Source organism: Homo sapiens, chromosome 9 (assembly GCF_000001405.40).
Source record: "Homo sapiens chromosome 9, GRCh38.p14 Primary Assembly".
NCBI classification, from domain to species: Eukaryota; Metazoa; Chordata; class Mammalia; order Primates; family Hominidae; genus Homo; species Homo sapiens.
In genome coordinates, this window is record NC_000009.12 from 65214589 (window position 1) to 65232863 (window position 18275).

General features: G+C 37.2%; 1 long non-coding RNA gene across 3 annotated transcripts; it reads right to left on the reverse strand.

The window, feature by feature from the left end:
• Positions 1–285: 285 nt before the first annotated feature.
• Positions 286–16266, reverse strand: LOC112268045 (uncharacterized). 3 transcript variants are annotated; one of them, XR_007061549.1, is made up of 3 exons: positions 16192–16266; positions 5785–5887; positions 286–5154 (listed from the first exon to the last, which is right to left on the reverse strand). It is a non-coding gene; the product is annotated as an uncharacterized LOC112268045 (long non-coding RNA). The 3 variants fall into 3 exon arrangements; XR_002956883.2 differs by having other exon boundaries at positions 16182–16263; XR_007061548.1 differs by lacking the exon at positions 16192–16266 and adding an exon at positions 8927–9013.
• Positions 16267–18275: the final 2009 nt, after the last annotated feature.

Genomic DNA, 18275 nt, shown 5'->3' on the forward strand with positions numbered 1-18275 from the left:
TACCTCAGGTCAGGAGTTCAAGACCAGCCTGGTCAACATGGCAAAACCATGTCTCTACTAAAAACACAAAATTAGCCAGGCATGGTGGTGCATGCTTGTAGTCCTAACCACTCGAGAGGCTGAGGCAAGAGAATCACCTGAACCTGGGAGGCAAAATTTGCTAGGTTGCTGTGAGCCAAATTCGCATCATTGCCCTCCAGCCTGGGTGAAAAGAGCAAAACTCTGTCTCAAAATAAAAAAAAAAAAAACGACCAAAAACTGCTTTTGAATGGAGTTGTACATACAATTTTGATGAAAAAAATTATCAAGTGCATAAGTTCATAATAGAAAAACCAATAATACTCCAGGCACAAGTTAGTACTAAAAAAATTATGTTGAATATGCTCCAATACAACATGCTTTTTCCCTTCATGAACAATTTGTGTTTTACTGAGAAGAGTCATTGTTTATGGTAGACATTAGACTACAGATGAATATGCACTTTAAACACTCTTAGTTGCTTTCTTAATTTTATATCTGCTGCTTTATGCTTCTGTTTATTTTCATTCTTTCCAATGTCCACATTCTAGTAAATTTGAATATTTTAATCCAAGTTTATATACTATTTAATATTGCTTGTATAGTTTAGTATTGTTAAGACTCAAAAAGGTTTACAGAAAGAAGAAAAAGATCAACATGTTATTAATCATTTAAAGATCATTTTGAAATCTTTGACCTTTATATTTTAATGAATAAAATATTAGTAGTTATTAGTATAAAATAATTTATGTCTTTTGGACTTAGCATCCAGTATTTCTTTTTTAATAAAGAAAATAATTATTCTCTTGCAATATACTATGTTTACCTGGGTTTTGAAAAGTGATGTTTCCTAATATGAGAAAGCCATTTACATTTTTAAATCTACAAAGGCAAATGGAATGGTACTAAATTATTTATATAATAATGTTTAGATGGTGACCCTTATAACATTCTTTCTATACTTCCTACAGAGTTGGGGATATGCAATCCTGGAATATTTCTGGGAGCTAATCCTTTAGCTTGATGAATGAAACAAGACTTTTAAATAAAATTAAACTTTCAAATTATCCAGGTAATGGGCCTGTCTTTTAATTCAATGGATATGGAGCATAATGAATTATCCCCTGTTCATTGGGTAATAAGTTCTCATTCTTAATTTATAATACTCAAAATATCCTTTAATTTTTAATTTTTGATAGTCATATCATTATCCCTAGGTATTTTAGCTTCTATCTTAAATTCTAAAATAATTTTGAGACAGGAGAAAGTATTCTTTATTACTATATGTATTAAACATCATGGTTTTCAAATTTAACTGCAAATGTATCTTTTCATTGCTTCTTGGTGACGCCCTTCACCCTATCCATATTGTCACTACCAAGTGGTGATTACTTTTCAGGTTCACATACTTATTCTTTAGAAAAATCTTCTCTGTGCCTTATAAAGAATATGATTGTTGGCATTGAAAAGCCAGTGAAATATACATTATTAGCCTGTTGCCTAACTCATTTATTTAAGAAACTACACTAATTACCCACATACTTATGTTTTTATTTACTCATTATTTCTGGAGAAAACAAATACTGCTAACATGATATTTGTAAGAGAGAAAAAAGTCTTTTCTTGAAAAGTGCTGTCATTGTAGTACTAACTTATAGTATCAACTTCTTTATCAACTCCTTATACACTTTTTATTCTGAGAGAAATAAAAAAGCTAAAAGTGAAATGACTTTGTAACTCTCCATATTATAAGCACCCATCTTGGTAATTTAGGGTCTTTATAGTTAGGGTAAGTTGTGTCATACCGAGGTTACAAAATAAAAAGTATTTTGTCTCTTTGGGCCTTTCCTTATTCAGTAATACTGTCAGTTTGGCTTTTTTTGTAGGTCAACTTATTGAACTCAGTATTCTGAAATAATGTGTTTACTATCTTTTGATAAGCATTTAAAATATTAGATTTATTGTTACTCGTCTGCCTTCATTGGGCTGGAAGAATAATTGTTTCACTCCACAAAAGCCAAGTTGCAGAGAAAAACACATAGACATTCAACTGCAAAGCAGAGAAACTTGACTATTTTCTGCAATTTTAAAGTGTATATTGAATAAAACCATCTTTTTATTTTCTTTTTTGCTCACTGGCAACTATTAACAACATCAAGTGCGTTATTATAATGTTATCTAGTTAAAAATCTCAAAAAGTTTTCATAATTACCATTTAAAAATATATAAATAAGTGACCTAATGTTAATTTTTATTGTCTGAGACCATGTCTGTTATTTCACTCTTTAAATTCAGTTAGTAATGCAGAACCTAGCACTTAGTAGATACTCAAAAATTATTTGCTGAATAAAAAAAGGTTAAACATGTAATATACACAAAATGTACTGGAAAAAATGCACCAAACAATTTTGTTATACCAGTTTAATGTAAATATTGTCTTTAAAAGATAATATAGTTTTCAGGTGTCTACAGTGATTTTGTAATATTTGTGCACATATAAAGTAATATTTCCAAAAATGTAATCCAGTGGGGAAATATACTTTCTAAATTCTAGATTTATAATTTAGGGTTTAAATTATAAAATCATTAAATAAGACACAAGTGAAATATAGTCAAATATCCCCTTGGAAAAAAATTAAGTGGCCTCTAAAGTGAGGTATTCATATATGTAATTTTACAATCCTCTAGTGATAGAATTAATTAAATATGCCACCAAATTGATTAATTCCTACAGTGTTAAAAGAGAAGCACTAACAATGCCAGTGACCATGTAACATGGATTTAAGCTACAAGTCATAGAAATGTGATGAGAAGCCTCAGCACTGTAAAACCGAGGGTGGAGGAAAGCTTTTCCTCTCTCAAATGAGCTTTGCGAGGTATACTTCTTGAAGGATAGGAAGTTGAAGTGTTCAGGACTTTTATGTCTATTCTACTTTGGCTTAGTTTACATGATTCTTAGTTTATTAGCCTAGAAATGGCCAAGAAAACTTAAGGCTCAATATTTAGTTATAAATATGAAATATCCCCAATTTTTAAGATAAAAACAACTTATAAATGTATTTGTCTGTAAAAATTGTGTATATTTTTACAGAACATCTATTTCTTTCTTTATTTTTTTATTTTTTTTATACTTTAAATTCTAGGGTACACATGAACAATGTGCAGGTTTGTTGCATATGTATACGTGTGCCATGTTGGTGTGCTGCACCCATTAACTCATCATTTATGTTAGGCATATCTCCTAATGCTATCTCTCCCCCCTCCCCCCACCCCACAACAGGCCCTGGTGTGTGATGTTCCCCTTCCTGTGTCCAAGTGTTCTCATTGTTCAATTCCCACCTATGAGTGAGAACATGCGGTGTTTGGTTTTTTGTCCTTGCGATAGTTTGCTGAGAATGATGGTTTCCAGCTTCATCCATGTCCCTAGTAAGGACATGAACTCATCATTTTTTATGGCTGCATAGTATTCCATGGTGTATAATGAACCTGAAACGGGAAAGGGCGAGATTAACTAAGCCTGTTTGCCATGGACAGCAATGGGGTTGCTAGAAGATTAGCTGTGTGGAAAAATTATGCATTTACCTTTGGGCATAATAAAATGCAATTGACTCTCCATATTCATGGGTTCTGCATCCACTGATTCAAACAACTGTGGAACAAAATTGTCAGAAAAAACAATACAACGATAAAAAATGATACAAATAAAAAACAACATGGTATACCAACTATTTACGTAGCATTTACATCGTATTAATTGTTATTAAGTAATCTAGAGATTATTTAAAGTATATAGGAGGATGTGTGTAGGTTATATGCAAATACTACACTATTTTATACCAGTAACTTGAGCATCCATGGATTTTGGTATACAAGGGGGATCCTGGAACCAATTCCCCATGCATATCAAAGGATGACTGTATGAGTTATCTGTAAAATGGTTTGGTTGAAATGTTTAGAAAACAGCTAGAAATACAAGACTGGCTGTTGGATGAAAAAAACATAGGACTAGGAAATTCAGGTATGCTAGTCTTTTTGAGTATTGCTTAAAGCCATGGGAAAAGAGCTCTCTGTGAGTTCCAAGACAGATGCAAGGACTGGCATTCATGCACAGCTTCTAACAGATAAATCTGAAGAGTTCTTAGTATGCATGTTGACTGAAATTACTTTAGAAGTAATTTTTCTCCTGGTGATAAAAGGCATGTAAGGCTATTTTAGGAAATTGAAAAATGCAAAAAGGTATAAAGAAAAAGAAAAGATAATCATTAATAGTACGTTAGTAAACAAGACTTGACTAAAGATACGACTTTCCTCCCGCTTGTTTTCTTATGCATATAAAGGGATAGGAAATATGTATGTATGTATGTGTGTGTATAGGATCATGCACTGTATATAGCTTGCTTCTTTTTCCATTATGATAATTTTCCCATGTCATGAATTACGGCTTGCAAGTGCTTATTCTTAAAGGGCTGCATTATTTTTCATTATTTGGATTTATTGTTATTTAATTGGAGCTCTATTATTGAACATTTAGATTGCTTCCAAAATTTTTTGCTCTTGTTAATATATTGTAATAAACTTCTGTGAAACACATACTCTTCACCTGCTACTTACATATGACTTCTGTAAGCAGAGACCTCTGTATCCCCAGGACCTAGAAGGTTACCCAGACATAGTAGTTGCTTAATTAAAAAAAATTATTGATTGAATGAAAGAAGACTATTAAATGTTCAGTTCTTCTTTTTTTATTCTGATTCCCTGTGTATCCAGGGGCCTCTTATTTGGCTGCATATATGAGTTTGGCTGTAATGAAAGTATTGGCCGTATATGACCATAAACAGGCATTCCTATTTCTGTCACAGTTATATTTGTCATTCTGTATTAATACATCTATATCCTGATTTCTATTGAAGCATGGTTAATTTTGTTTGCTTCTAAGCAATGTAGCTACCCTGTTGATGCTGATAAAAATAAATTTCTGAACCTATAAGACTGAGGATTGGGCCTAGGTTGTAGTAAATTGGCAAGATAATGGATGCTACCCTGTCAAGAGTCCTCTGAAGAGAAAAGTCTGCCACCCTTCACCAGGTAGAAACTCCAGGCAGTGCCACATTTTCCAGTTTGACGCCCTGTGATACCCTGAAAAGACAGATGTTTGACTCTTTTCAAATAATATTTTAACATATTTTAAGACGCAAAGGCATTGTGTCGGACTTTTTTCTTAAGAATATATTTCATTACCACTCAGAAGTTAGCTTCCAAAAGAAATGTGTGTGCAAAGGTTTATGATAGTGGTGTAGAGAAGTTTTTAAAATAAATGTGCATCTTTTATGGTAATAAAAGCACATTACGAAGAATTTTTTAGGTCCAGTTCACAGATTCCTTGTGCCTGGGGAAAACTTTATTAGAAAATTAGATAATTTCTAATTTGATTAGGGGAAGTCTAATGGGAAAACTTTTTAACTGAGCGGTCCAATTTGAAACATGAATATCTGTGCTGGAAGCTTCTATTGAACTTTACTTAAGTCACATCTGAGCCCCTCTGCCTGTCAGTCCACCATTACCCTAACAGTGGTAGAAATTCTTTATATGACACCTAGATCTTTTTTTGTTGCACTTTTAAGCTGTGTAGGAAACACACTGCCCACATGTTCATACAACACAGAGTGATTATCCACTTAGTTCCTAAAAAGTTGTGTTTGGTTATGGGATTTGATCCCACTTGTCCAGGGTTTAGGTCAGCTACTGAAGATTAGGATATCTGGGTACCTCTTACTGGAGAATCCATTCCTGTTTTCATTTCATTCCTGGGGGCAATATTCAATCTGGTGTGGCCCTCTGTATTATAAAATGTTTCCCAGATTGTGTTTATCTGAAATACAAATCCAAGAAGAAGCATGGTGTTAATTGCCATGTAAAAAAGATTCCAGAGTCAAGAGCTTGAGAAGTTCTATTCCTTCCTTCATAGGTTCAGTTGTTTAACTCAGCATTTTTCAAACATATTTTACTCCTAGAACCTGTTTTTCCTCAGACATATTTAAGAAAAAAGCGTTTTGTAGAACACATTTGGACAAATGATACTTTATATCATTGCTTTGTTTTTTAAATTTTAGTTTGACTCAATTTTACAGTTTCAGGATTTTGTTTCTGTTTCAGGTTTTAAGCTTTTCTTTTATAAATAGTTACTTTCCTAGTCTGAAATCTATACATTGTTTCAGTAATGAATTCATTATGTAAATTTGCCCATCATTCATCTAAAGGGAATAAACATTAAATTGTTTTTTTAAATTTTGACTTGTGTCACATATGAGAATATAAAGTATATCTGTACAATAAAGGAAAATGAAACATCAAAGTATCTACCTCAGGTTAAGAAGCAGAACTTGGCTGGGCATGGTGGCTCACACCTGTAGTCCCAGCACTTTGGGAGGCAGAAGTGGGAAGATCACTTGAAGCCAGGAGTTGGAGACCAGCTTGTTCAATAAAGGAAGACCTCATCTCTAACAACAACCACAACAGCAAAAAATTAGCCAGGCACGGTGACACATGCTTATAGTCCCAGCTACTGGTGCAGCCTCGAACTCCTGGTCTCAAGCCATCTTCCCACCTCAGCCTCATGTTGTAGTGAACTTTGTTATGCAGTGTCTCCTATTCTACTTGTGCAGGAGTATTTTTCCAGTATGTACCTGGAGTGGAATTGCTTGGTCATTGGGCATGTGTGTGTTCAGCTCTATTGAGTGGCATCATACTGTTCTCCAAGGCAGTTGTACCAATCTACACCCTCACCAGCAGTGAATAGTCTTCCCATTGTTCTTCCTCAATGAAACTAGATATTCACAGCCTTTTAGGTTTTTCCTAGAGTATGAAGTGGTATCTCTTTGGGGTTTTAATATTTATTTCCCTGATTAGAATTGTAGTTGAGTATCTTTTATTATGTTTATGGGCCATTTATGTTTTCTCTTCTGTGAAATTCCTATTCGGGTTTTTTGCTCATTTTAAATGTTGTTGTTTGTGTTTTTCTTATATAGGAATTCTTCACGCATTCAAGATGCACGTATGTTGTTCAGCATAGTACCTGAGACATAGAAACAACTTTGTAAGAATAGCTATCATTACATTACCATTGTATTTAATCCTTTGTTTTTATGTGTTACAATTATCTTCTGCTAATTTGTGGCTTATTTTTCATTCTGTAATGCTCATTTTTTAACCTAGTATTCTATTATTTTAAAAATACACAATCTTGAGTAGTCTACATGTTCATAACCATGACATATTCATGTTGCATTTGTTCTGTGTCATAACCCAGAACTTTCTTTTTTTTTTTTTTTTTGAGATGGAGTTTTGCTTTTGTCACCCAGGCTGCAGTGCAATGGCGTGATCTTGGCTCACTGCAACCTCTGCCTCCTGGGTTCAAGAGATTCTCCTGCCTCAGCCTCCCGAGTAGCTGGGATTACAGGCACCTGCCACCATGCCCAGCTAATTTTTGTATTTTTAGTAATGGTGTTGTTTCGCCGTGTTGGCCAGGCTGGTCTCGAAATCCTGACCTCAGGTTATCTGCCCACCTTGGCCTCCCAAAGTGTTGAGATTACAGGCATGAGTAGCTGCACCCGGCCAACTTTCAATCTTAAGTACCATTTTTTGCTGCTGTTTCTTTTTTTGAACCCCAGGAAAAAATTAACTCATTTAATCCCCTATTCAAACTGCTACAATTTTATTTTCAGTGTTGTCGCCTGGTTGTAGATGCATTTGTCTCTCCAAATGCACTGTGATTATTTCGAAGACAAAACATTTTTGGCATTGTGATATATATATATATATATATATATATGTATATATGTATGTAATATATATATGTATGTATATATGTATATAATATAGTATAAATATTTATTTATGTTTTATATATCATATAAAAATTATATATAAAAATTATATATATATATATAAATGCCACTTATCCCTAATATAGGGACTCGATTAGTTTCTGCTAGTGTGGAGACAAGTCATATCATGGCTAGGGGCCATGATGGTAGGAGCAGTCAGAGGATTTCTTGCATTGTGATGAGTGCCTATAAGTTAAATGAGCCACTTATCAGTAGATTTGATAGCAGGATAATAGTTATATCACTGATACCTAGGCAGTACATGACACTCGGTAAAGAATAGATTAATCCTCGTGCTCTTCATCTTCCTCCTAATCTCTTTACCTGTGCTGCCCTCCAGCTTTCAAAGTGCTCTGAGTCATCACTTACACAGTGTTCCTTAGCTGCCCCTTCAGTGAGCCAGTGTTTCTGTGCCCCAGTGTTCCTGAGAGTTAGAACACAGAAAACAGAGCAGGCTCTTGCCCACATCACAGAACATCTTTGTCTCCCTGTGGATCCCGCACATTTGTTCATTAGAGCTCAGGAATTGCCAGAGACTGGCTTTTGTGGCAATGGACACTAGATTCCTCAGAAGAATATTGGTTGAAATCTTCCTGCTGTGACAATTCCCTGCATGCAGGGCAGGAGTGTGTGCTTCTTCCCAGCAAAGGCAGAGGCAGGGCCTACAGAAACTGTGCCCGCAGCCTATAGTGATGGGGTCTATGAGGTAATTCAGGCAGATGAGGCAGGTGAGTTCTTTCTGGAAGGCTTGTGGGAAGTCTAAGTCCATTTTTCTGAGGGAAGAAAACCAGAAGAATTTATTCTTATGCCACAGAGAGGCAAAGATCTACACAAAGTTTGAATCAGGTTTTGAGTAGGATTCGCTCACAGGTTTAAATCTATAGCAGGATACGATTTTATTTTGCACATAACAAAAATGAAAAACTGAGGCATAGAATTCAAGCTTTGCAGAAAAATGTGTTGGCTCCCTAACCAACACACACACACACACACACACACACACACACACACACACACACACCTACTTTCCAAATTCTTTCCTCCTGTATGAAAAAAACTTAAGGCTGGGCACAGTGGCTCATGCTTGTAATCCAGCACTTTGGGAGGCTGAGGCAACAGGATTGCTTGATCCAAGGAGTCCAAGACCAGCCTGGGCAACATGATGAGACCCTGTCTCTACAAAAAGAAAAGGAGAAAAAAATTAGCTGAGCATGCCAATAGTCCCAGCTACTAGGGAGGCTGAGGTGAGAGGATTGCTTGAGCCTAGGAGGTCAAGGCGGCAGTGAGCCATAATCCAGCCACTACACTCTAGCCTGAATGACAGAGCAAGACTCTGTCTCAGAAATGAACAAAGAAAGAAAAAGAGAGAGAGAGAGGGAGGGAAGGAGGAAGGAAGGAAGGAAGGAAGGAAGGAAGAAAAGGAAGGAAGGAAGTTTACAGAGTTTTTTGAGGTGTTAGTGTTCCCTAAATTGTATGGTCTTCAGAGGTTTACCCTCCTATAGCTTCAAGGGGTGAGTCCTGACTGGTAGGAAAATCAATCACACTCTTACTTGCCAGTGATTCATTTAGGGAAGACAGCTAACTAAGCTCTTCCACTTTGATTATTTCATTTAATTGTAACAACCATCTTATTATGACTTCTTCAAAATTACCCTGCCAGTAAGTGTTGGAGGACTCCCCAGAAGCAGAAACCACCACGCTTCCTGTATAGCCTACGGAACCATGAGCCAACTAAAGGTGTTTCTCAGGTATTTCTTTATATCTTTGGCCAAAATTAAAGAGTTAGGCTTTACTCTCCAAGATACTGCAATGGACAAAAACAAGCCACCACTGTTTTCTAATGTTGTTTTCTTGTTAATTCAATCAACAAGTATTTTCTGGTAAGTTTAGTGTTCCAGAGACTGGTAACCTGGTGATGCACCAGTTAATAAAACATCCTTAAGAGAAATAAAAGTTGAAAAATGAACCAGATGATAAAATGCAGTAGTGTACACAATGCCACTTATCCACAGGTCTTCTGTGTGTCACCCATGATCCAGAAAATGTCTTTAGTATAAGCCATTGATAAAGATGCCTGAAAAATTTACGTATAGAAGACATAGTCACAAAATTATTTTTTTCCTTTGATATCCCTTGTTACTTCAAACAGAATTTACCACTCCAATTCGATTTCTGAATACATGGGAGTTAATAGAATACTCCTAATCCATTTATAGGATCTACACTAAGTAAAAAAATTAAAGACATCTGAAAACTATTTTGTGAGTCCTTATAATCCATATCAACAATCATGGTATATATTAAGTAATAGACCAAAAATTAATCATCATATTAACCAAAAACACATAGCAAGACAAGATAACTAAATATTTTCATTTGGAAATTGGGAAATTTAGTCAATTTTAAAACTCAGCAAATGAGATCATTTCACAGAAGCAACCTAGGTTTGCTGGTAAATTAAAATTATGACATTTTGTTTTGGTTTGGGAGGGTAGTTCCTCTTCTGTAAATTGTGTACTCACATAAGAAATATATCTATGTTCTCACGGACACTTGCTGTAGAGGTAATAATATGAAGTTAGCTCAGGGATCAGGGCCTCACAGTGCAGTGCTGGTAGTTTTTTTTGTTGTTGTTGTTTTTTTTTTTTTTTTGCCCTGCACCTTGAGTAAAAGTTTCCTGAGGCCTCCCCGGAAGCAGAAACCACCATGCTTCCTGTATAGCCTATGGAACTGTGAGCCAACTAAAGGTATTTCTCATGTATTTCTTTATAGGAATGCAAGAGCGTACTAATACAGCTAAGCAGAGGCCATCAGGACCAGCAAAAGTCTGAGCTGGATGAGAGACAAAGCTAAACTTTGAGCAGCAGCAGAAGCTGCCAGGGATTACAGAAAGGAAGGACTGACTCCTAAATTCCAGGATGTCTCCTTTAAGTCTGTAAGAAGCTCAGCCACTGTCTCCTTACCTGACTCCTCTGGGAAAGAGTTTCCCTGGGTTAAACCATACAGGGATAGGGTAGGAGATGCCATTTGGATCTAGGAGCAGAGGGCAGAGACTCAGCAGGAAGAGTGTCTCTTTGAGAAGGATACACAGTGGAGCAGGTGTGTAGGTTCACAGGGCCAGCTATGGGTAGAGTCGGGTGTACATTTTTAGAAGCCACAATTCCCAAAAATCTCCTGACTATAAGATCAGTGCACAGAGCCAGTCAAATGGAGGAGGAGTGGGTCCAGGCAATTCAGGAAGAAGGAAAGTAACAAATGAGTGGTTGCAGGAGGACACTTTTTCTGTCGAGGTCACTAAACAAAACATTGTCTCCTCCCCTTAACTTCGGAAACAATGGAGGGTAAAAGTGTTGCCTGGGCCCTGGGGGCAAAGGCAGTAGATAACTTCTCTGTCGTGTTCTCCAGAAGGGCCCATTCCAGCCTCACAGGCCGAGAAGTCTGTTCGGTTCCCAAGTACTAGAGATGCTGCTATAAGGGACTCCTGAATTTCCTTCCTGAACCAGAGGCTGCCCAGCCTTTTCTTCCTGTTTTATTTTTTCCCAGGAAGAAACTTGCCTGTACAATTACAAGGTTCTACGGTTCTAAATTCCAATCTAGTCTTCCACATCATTTTGAAGGTATAATATTACTTGTCAAAGTGGGATGATAGAAGATATGTGTGGACATAAATTGTTGACAAGGAAAAAAACTAAAATCAGAAAATAAGAAAAAATATATGTATGTACAGTGGTTAGCTAGAAATGTGCCTTTTAAATATTTGGCATGTGGTATGTGGGCCTCAATGTGTACTATTGCACTAGCTTCCCAAATATTAAAGGATGTCTTTTAAAAGAAAAACCTCTTGCTAAAAGGTTAACAGTTAAAATAACCAGAGTGGCACAGGTACCAGTCATTAAGTGAAACCTTTCATCTTCCCAGAATAGTACCTGTTCCCAAGCCAGCTTCTTTGAAAATCACTTTTCTCTCCTTTACTATTTAGTTTACAGATTGTATAGTAACAATACAGAAACCACAATAGTAGCAAAAAAAATAAAGAATATTTTTAAATGAAAACTCACATCCTAACTCTACCAAAACATGAAAATTAAACCTGAATGCCTCCCATTCCTGATATATTTTCACCTAAATATTCAGCTCTGGGATTGCATTGTTTTTGGATTGAGTGGAAATTATTGCCTGGTCTTGAAATCTTCCATAATGTGTGTGTGTGTGTGTGTGTGTGTGTGCGTGTGTGCATGTGTGTGTGTGTATATGTATGTATGTGTGGTGAATATATTTCTTTTTGTTCGGAGCAAAGATTTTTTCAATATGTATATTTATTTTAGGCAGATTATGCTAGTAATTTTCTACAAATGTGCTTTTTAAAAAATAACCTTTAATTTAAAAAAAATTATTCTTACTCAGTGGCCCACAATTGTTAAAAACGCTACTAATGGAGCTGGGTATGGTGACACACACCTGTCATCCCAGCTACTTGGGAGACTGAGGCAGGGGTATTGCTTAAACTTGGGAATGTGAAACCAGCCTGGGCAACATAGTGAGATCCCAATCTCAAAAATCAATCATTAAAAAATAAAATAAAACACTACTAATAGCTTTTTAAAAAATAGTTCTTAACCAATTTTCCTAGCACCTTCCTTTCCTCAGTGAAGTATAGAAATATGTGGTCAGTCACTGTGGCTCACACCTATAATCCCAATAATTTGGGAAGCCAAGGCATGAGGATCAGTTGATTCCAGGAGTTCAAGACTAGCCAGGGTGACATAATGAGACTTGGTCTCTAACGAAATTTTTTTTTCTTTAATTACCAGGGCATGAGGGTGCATGCCTGTAGCCCAGCTACTTGGAAGGCTGAGGTAGGAGAATCACTTGAGCCCAGGAGGTGAAGGCTGCAGTGAGCCATGGTTGCACCACTGCACTCCATACCTGGGTGACAGAGTGAGACACAGTAACAAAAACAAACAACAACAAAAAGTATTTGTTTTAGAAAAAACATTTGGTGAGATTTGGGCTTAAAAATATATTATTCTAAAATATTCATAAATATTCTCTAGTAATGATAAGATTAAAGTGACAAAGACAAACTTTTTTCCTGTGCAGTTCCATCTCTCACCTTCCTGTAATTTGTCTGTCCCATCCAGCTTCCAAAGGAAATTATTTACAAAATAATGTCTGCATCCTGGGTCTATATATCTATTGCCTATGAGGAGAGCGTTTAAGATCTGAGCCATCTTCAAGTCTTATACTTTGTGTATAGCTCTCATGTTTTTGCAGGTTATGTAAGTTTGTATACCCTTTCTTTTATTAATCTGTGTATGGTCAGTTCATTTCCGGTAATCTTCAGAGGGTGAAAGGGGAAGCTTTTCACTTCACTCCTACTGTGACAACTAACTACCTTCTTACTTATTCAATTTTTTAGTCTATATCAACATTTTTATATACATTTACTTTTAAACAAAATTTTGCATCATTACACTTAAAATTTTATTTAACTTTTAAAAAGGAAATTAAAAATAAAATTAAAAATTATAAAATTTTACATAATAAAAATAAAATAAATGATTTATATAAAAATTAATCTGACCTGTGAAAAACACTGTCCAGAGGCCAGGTGCGGTGGCTAACGCTTGTAATCCCAGCACTTTGGGAGGCCGAGGTGGGTGGATCACGAGGTCAGGCGATCTAGACCACGATGAAACCCCTCTCTACCAAAAATACAAAAAATTAGCGGGGCGTAGTGGCGGGCGCCTGTAGTCCCAGCCACTCGTAGAGGCTGAGGCAGGAGAATGGCGTGAACCCGGGAGGCGGAGCTTGCAGTGAGCCGAGATCGTGCCACCGAAATCCAGCCTGGGTGACAGAGCCAGACTCTGTCAAAAAAAAAGAAAAAAGAAAAAAGAAAAACACTATCGAGAGAATAAAAAGACAAATCACAGACTGGGAGTAAAAATTTACAAAAGCTATATCTGGTGAAGATACATTTGTTATCCAAAATATGCAAAGAACTCTCAGGACTCAATAATAGGAAAACAAATAGTCTAACACAAATGTAGAGATCTGAACAGACATTTCACCATAGAATACAGATGGACGATACATAAGCACATCATTCATCATTAGGGAAATGTAAATTAAAACCACAATGAGATACTGTTACTTGCCTATTAGAATAGCTAAAATTTAAAAGACTGACCATACTAAACATTGGTGAGAACACAAAGGAACAGGAATGCTCATATACTGCTGCTGGAAATACAGCCACTTTGTCAGTTTCTTTAAAAGTTAAACTGGCTGGGAGCGGTGGCTCACGCCTGTAATCCCAGCACTTTGGGAGGCCAAGGCGGGCGGATCACGAGGTCAGGAAATCGAGACCATCCTAGCTAACACGGTGAAACCCCATATCTACTAAACATACAAAAAATTAGCCGGGCGTGGTGGCGAGCACCTGTAATCCCAGCTACTCCGGAAGCTGAGGCAGGAGAATGGCGTGAACCCGGGAGGTGGAGCTTGCAGTGAGCCGCGATGCACCACTGCACTCCAGCCTGGGCGACAGAGCGAGACTCCGTCTCAAAAAAAAAAAAAAAAAAAAAAAGTTAAACATATCACACCACCTAGTCATTCAAATCCTGCTTATTTGCCCAAGACAAATGAAAGTGTATGTCCAAACGATTGGACAAACATTCGTAGCAACTTTATTTGAAATAGCAAAAACAACTGGAAGCAAACCAAATGTCCATCAAGAGGTGAATAGATACACTAACTGTAGAATATCCACACAATAAAACTATTTTTTTAAAAACTACGGGGCAAAAAACAAAAAACCAAAGATAGAATCTAATTTCTTGGTAAATACATTCACTATTAGGGTTTTTATAACAGAGAAGTCATTCTTTATTAACACTCTTTTGACTATGAAAATATTTTGACATCAAAAATCTGCAAAATATGAAGAAACAGGACACACAGCTTTTTCTATTTTTTATTTTTATTTTATTTTTATTTTTTTGAGAAGGAGTCTCTTTCTGTCACCCAGGCTGGAGTGCAGTGGCGCGATCTTAGTTCACTGCAAGCTGTGCCTCCCGGTTCACGCCATTCTCCTGCCTCAGTCTCCCGAATAGCTGGGACTACAGGCGCCCGCTACCAAGCCCGGCTAATTTTTTGTATTTTTAGTAGAGACGGGGTTTCACCGTTAGCCAGGATGGTCTCAATCTCCTGACCTCGTGATCTGCCCGCCTCGGCCTCTCAAAGTGCTGGGATTACAGGCGTGAGCCACCACCCCCGGCCCCAGGACACACAGCTTTAAAATTTCTCCTTGGTCTCACCCAGTGCCAACCACCTAAAACCTCTCATTTTCCCCCAGACATTTCTTCTGCCTCCAGGATGGAGGTAGAGAATCTTGGCCTTGGACCACGCACTGGGGACCATGCTGGGCTGCCGTGGACAGTGACGGACTCAGGTTCTCACCAGGATCCCCAAAATAGGCCCCTGAAAAAAATGTTACCATCAGGGTGCGCTCCCTGATTCTTCTGTCTGCTGGAAGGAGGAAATCAAGCCAGGAACATTGTCAGGATAGAGATGAAAATGGGGCTCACTTTTCTGTCTTTTGTGATGTCAGACAAGCCTTTCAGCTCTGTCTCTTCAGCCCTCATGGAATTGTTTGGTGTGGACGCACCGAGATTCTGAACTGGGTCCCCTTTCCCTCTGCCCTTCTCTGGGGCCAGATTCTGAGCTCTCCATTCCAATTTTTCCCCCAATTTTCCCTTGCATTTATTTATCTGGATTACTGTCTGCCTGTCCCAAAGAATAAAAGCTTTATCACAGTGGGGATTTTGTTTAAAAAAATAATAATAACAGCTATATTTTTAGGATCCATGACACTGTCCAGCATATCGGTGGTATCTGATAAAAAATGTTTGTTGACTGGATGAACAAATATATTATTCACAATTCACATTATCCTGAACTGGCTAGAAAATTAAATATCTGATATCAGTATTGGCAATATTATGAAGTAAATATAAGTCTGATACAGTGCTCGTGAAAGTCTAATACGCAATGCTCATTTTAGAAAACATTTTCTTGTAGATTTGAAAATGTTTCATCTCCATGAACTAGTTGTATATCTGCAAGTTGTGTATCTTTGGGTTAGGCAGAATAATTGCCCCCCACCAAAGACAGCCACATCCCAGTCTTCAGATAAGGTGAACATGCTAACGTAAGTTAGCATGTTCAGAGACTTGGCAGATGTGATTACCATTAAGGGCATTGAAATGGGGAAATTACCTTGAATTACCTTGGTGAGCCAGTCTAATCTCATAATTCCTTGAGAGCAGAGAATATTTTCTGGATGCTGAGATTCAGACAGATGGCAGTATGAGAAAGATGTGGCCTGCTATTACTGGCTTTTAAAACAGTGGTAGGGGGCCACAAGCCAAGAAAAGCCAGTGACCTTTAGAAGCTGGGAATGACCCAAAGTTTACAACCAGGAAGAAACTGAGGATCTACAACCACAAGGAACTGAATTCTGCCAACAACCCAGATGCTCTTTTAGAGCCTTCAGAAAGAAATGCAGCCTGCCAACATCTTGATGTTAGTTCAGTGAGAGCCATGCCAGATTTCCAACCAAAACAATTCTAAGACAATAAGTCTGTGTGTGTTTTTTAAAACTGACTCAAATCTTACAAAAATGTGTTCTTTTAAGCCACTGAATTTGTGGTAAATTGTTACAGCAGGAATAGAAAACTGATACAACCCTAGAGAAAGTCTTGTACATGTGCCCTATAAACACACAGCAGAATTTTTTTAACTTTTTATTGAGTTAAAATATATATATATATAATTTACCATCTGTACATTTTTAGAGGACAGTTTAGTGGTGATAAATACATTTATATTTTCTTCTCTTAATCTCCTCTTCCCACTCCCCTTGCTGGCCTCTAGCAACCACCAATTTACTTTCTATCTCCATGAGATCCACTTTTTTACTGCCCACATATGAGTGACAACATGTGGTATTTGCCTTTCTGTGCTTGGCTCATTCCACTTAACATAATGGCCTATGTTCATTACGTTAAACCAAATGGCCAGTGCCACCTATGTTGCTGTGAATGACAGAATTTCATTCTTCTTTGTTTCTGAGTAGTATTGCATTATGTATATATATGACTTTTAAAATCTATTCATTTGTTTATGAGCACTTACGTTGATTCCATATTTTGTCTATTGTGAATAGTGCTGCAGTACACATCGGCATGTAGATATGTCTTTGATACATTAATTTCCTTTATTTTGGATATACATCCAGTAAAGAAATTGCTGGACCACATGGTAGTTCTATTTTTACTTTTTTGAGGAACCTCCATACTATTCTCCATAGTGGCTTTATTAATGTGGATTCCCACCAACAGTGTACTAGTATTTCCCTTTCTCCACATCCTTGCCAGCATCTGTTATTGCCTGTCTTTTTGAAACAAGTCATTTCAACCAAGGTGAGATGATATTGCATTGTGATTTTGATTTGCATTTCTTTGACGATTAGTGATACTGAATATTTTTTGTCTTCCTATTGGCCATTTGTTTGTCTTCTTTTGAGAAAATATCTGTTCAGATCTTTAGCCCATTTTTAAATTGTATTTATTTATATATTTTTAACTATTTTTTTTGAGAAGTAAGGTCTTGCTTTGTCACCCAAGCTAAAGGGCAGTAGCATAATCATAGCTCACTGTAACCTCAAACTCCTGGGATTAAGAAATCCTCCTGACTGGGCGCGGTGGCTCACGCCTGTATTCCCAGCAATTTGGGAGGCAGAGGTGGGCGGATCACGAGGTCAGGAGATCGAGACCATCCTGGCTAACATGGTGAAACCCCATCTCTACTAAAAATACAAAAAATCAGCCGGGCTTGGTGCCGGGCGCCTGTAGTCCCAGCTACTCAGGAGGCTGAGGCAGGAGAATGGCGTGAACCCTGGGGGAGCAGAGCCTGCAGTGAGCCGAGATCACGCCACTGCACTCCAACCTGGGCGACAGTGAGACTCCATCTCATAAAAAAAAAAAAAAAAAGAAATCCTCCTACCTCAGCCTCTTCAGTAGCCCATTTTTCAATCAGATTTTTTGTTTGTTTATTATTGAGTTGTTTGAGCTCCTTATATATTCTACTTGTTAACCCTTTGTCAGATAGATAGTTTGAAAATATTTTGTCCCATTCTGTGCTTGGCTCTTCACTTTGTTGATTGTTTCCTTTGCTTGAGGCTTTTTAGTTTGATATAATCCCATTGTCTATTTTTGCTTTTGTTGCCTGTGCTTCCGAGGTCTTACGCAAAAAAATCTTTGCCCAGACTAATGTCCTGGAGCATTTCTCCTATGCTTTCTTTCTTTCTTT